The 3,022-nt window shown below is 31.2% G+C and overlaps 1 annotated feature.

Annotated features, from left to right (window-relative positions):
* Nucleotides 791-1,438: an enhancer, noted in NCBI's record as "OCT4-NANOG hESC enhancer chr13:64913635-64914282 (GRCh37/hg19 assembly coordinates)". NCBI's record gives its function as "activates a minimal SCP1, AML or CMV promoter by ChIP-STARR-seq in naive H9 embryonic stem cells {active_cell/tissue: H9 hESC(naive)}" and the evidence as "EXISTENCE:reporter gene assay evidence [ECO:0000049][PMID:30033119]".

The following is a 3,022-nucleotide window of genomic DNA, read 5'->3' as shown; positions in this document are numbered from 1 at the left end:
AATGTTCTTTGCTTTCTAGTTACCATGATGACCTTTCTTCGTTCTCCTCTATTACCTGTCATTCTCATTATATAACACTCATTGAAATACGTTCAGTTATGAACTTAATCTATAGGTGTCTAGTATAATTTTCTTATTTTCTCTTTGCCTGACTATATTCTTTTATTCTGACACTTACTAAAGAAGATGGAAGTGAAAACATATAAACTTATAAATAATAGTCATCACATGTTTTATTGATTATATAACATTAAAATGTAAATATATCAGGCAAAAACCTTTATGTATAAGGTTAAAAGTGAATAGTGTATTAATTGCCTGGTATTTTTTACTGAAGTGATTGATGGTTGCAGGGCATATGATTTCTCCACAAAAAGTTTTTAATAGGACTCATTGATTTTTGTCTTGTGATTTCAGCTTTCCTAGACTTCGACATGGACATATTATATAATTAAATTACTAACTTCAATGTGCATAGAGGCTTATTTTCCTCTTTTAACTCAAATGTATTGAATAAAACACACAGGGTAAAATTAGCACGACATTTCATATGATCATACAGAAAAAAAGCTTTTAATAATTCCAGAACAGAGGAATATTATTTTCATGTATGAAATTGATATTTGACACCAGCACCACAAGTAATAATACAGAAAACATTGACTACTTTTTATAATAAACTATTATGTTTGTTTAGTTTTAATCTTCATATTTCCAAGGTATCAAAATATTTGACTAATGAAAAATAAATATGGGCACTCAGATATTCATTAAAAATCTACAAAACTGGCAAGACTCATTCAGGAATTGAATTTGTGTCAATGAACAATATGTCTTTGGTTGTGTTTGTAAATTAAAAATAAAATTCTAAGCTCCCAACCATCTGAACAAACACCTCCTCTTGGCCAAAGGCATTCCAAAGTTAACCTGAATAACTAGTGGAGGCAATGATGGCAAGAAGGGGTCAGATATGCTTCATTTTACCCTCCTTCTTTTTGGAATTCAGGAAAAGTCGACCAGCATTAACATCAACACACACCTTAAGTCTGAAAAGAAACATTTACAAACGATTCTCTCTGAAGCCTGCTACCTAAGGGCTTCATCTGCATGATAAAACTTGCTCCCCACAATCCCTTATCATCACCCAGACATTCCTTTCTATTGATTCCAGTTCTTTAGAAAATAACTTACCTATGTCAACCAATTGCCAGTCAGAAAATCTTTAAGTCTACTATGAGCTGAAAGCCCCGCTTTGAGTTGTCTCACCATTCCGGATCAAATCAATGTATATCTTACATGTATTCAGTGATGTATTATGTCTCCCTAAAATCTATGCAAGCGAGCTGTACTCTAACCTCGTTGGAAACACGTCATCAATACCTCTTGAGGCTGTGTCATGGGCTCATCCTTAACCTTGACAAAATTAACTTTTTAAACTGCTTGAGACCTGTCTCAGGTGCTTTTGAGTTCACAGGTTTAAGCTCTCAAAATGAATTAGATTTTATGTGAACTTAAAAATTGCTTTTCCAATTTTAACGTAGTGATATTCCCTTTTGTGTTATCAAGATGGCATGAATTGAATGGTATTTAAGTCTATGTAGGACTGTTGTTTCTCACCTATAGATATGTAATCCATTCATCTATATCAGCATGAGTGCTATTGACTTCAGCAATAATTATTGTATACAGTAACTTTGAATTAATCATTTAAATATACATAAGATTTCTAACTGAGCAATGCTGGTAATAGTAGATTATAATAATGCAACCAACAAGAAAAATAAAAGACTTAAAAAATAACGGTAACTGTTTAAATATACCTTTGTTATGCTTATCACTATTGACCAATGCATTTATCTAGGAAACACATTTATTTAGCAATTAAAGACTACATTCCTGAGTGCCTCTATTAATTTGCAAAAACAAAATAATATGAATGTGCATAGGAGAAATTGTTAGGGTTCATCCTGTATGTTAAGTCACCAGTATTTTTCTTGGCCACAGGAAATTAATCATTAATTATGCAGTACATTAAGGAAAGAGATGGGTCTCTGTTGTACTCAAACTTTATTAAAGTGATGTTGAACATACATTAAATAGTGGAAATACTGGCATTTTTCAAAGCTGGCCCACAATATACACGTTTACTTGTTTCAAAAAAGAAGTGTTGAAAACAATAAATATTATCCATGTAATATTTATGGTTTCTTATACCAAAATATACAGCCTGCACCACAATATTGAGTTTCTAAGGGCACATGAAACTTTAGATTTTTATCCACAGAAGTTGGGTATAAGACATCATACTCTTTATTAAGGCATTACAAATCACATATTGATGACAGAAACCCTATTACTTTTTACAGTAAATTAAAGTGTTTTGAAACCAAAAGACATAAACTTATAAAAGATTTACTGAGTGTGCAACAGACAATTTAATTCAGTCGAAAATGTATTAATGGGTACTGCTTGTTTGCTTTCTTCCCTTTTCTTTCCAGAGGCAATCATTTCACAAGGATAATATCAAGGTTTAAAGGCATTTTGCTTTCTAGCTGTATTGAATACATTTTAAAATTTGGTTTATATGCATATATATGTAAAAAGATTATGATAGATAGCAACACTTGCTTGCTTATTATTCACATATCATCATTACACAACTGGGAAGATAGTCTTATTCAAAAAATTTAGAATGCATCTGCCAACAAAGGAATAAGCTTGTTATCTGATTTTTGCTTTGCGTGTCATCACTTTTGCTTGAAGACCATAATTGTGCCAGGATACTAATTTTATTAATTTGTTTCAACACTGTCAATTTCAGGTGTGAATAACCAGTTTTATCAAAGCCGTTTACTTTATTTCAATCAGAGACAAAGAGTAAAAATTACACTCATGTGTAATACAAAATTGCTTCACCTAATGAATAGAAAAAGAAAACATAAAATTATTATTTTGCAAAATGTCTTTCTTTTTAGTCAACTTTAGGACATTATCCACTGAGAAGTTATTTTAAAAATCTGTG

Source organism: Homo sapiens, chromosome 13 (genome assembly GCF_000001405.40).
Source record: "Homo sapiens chromosome 13, GRCh38.p14 Primary Assembly".
Lineage (NCBI taxonomy): Eukaryota > Metazoa > Chordata > Mammalia > Primates > Hominidae > Homo > Homo sapiens.
The sequence above is the reverse complement of the archived record's forward strand: the minus strand, read 5'-3'. Positions and strand labels throughout refer to the sequence as shown.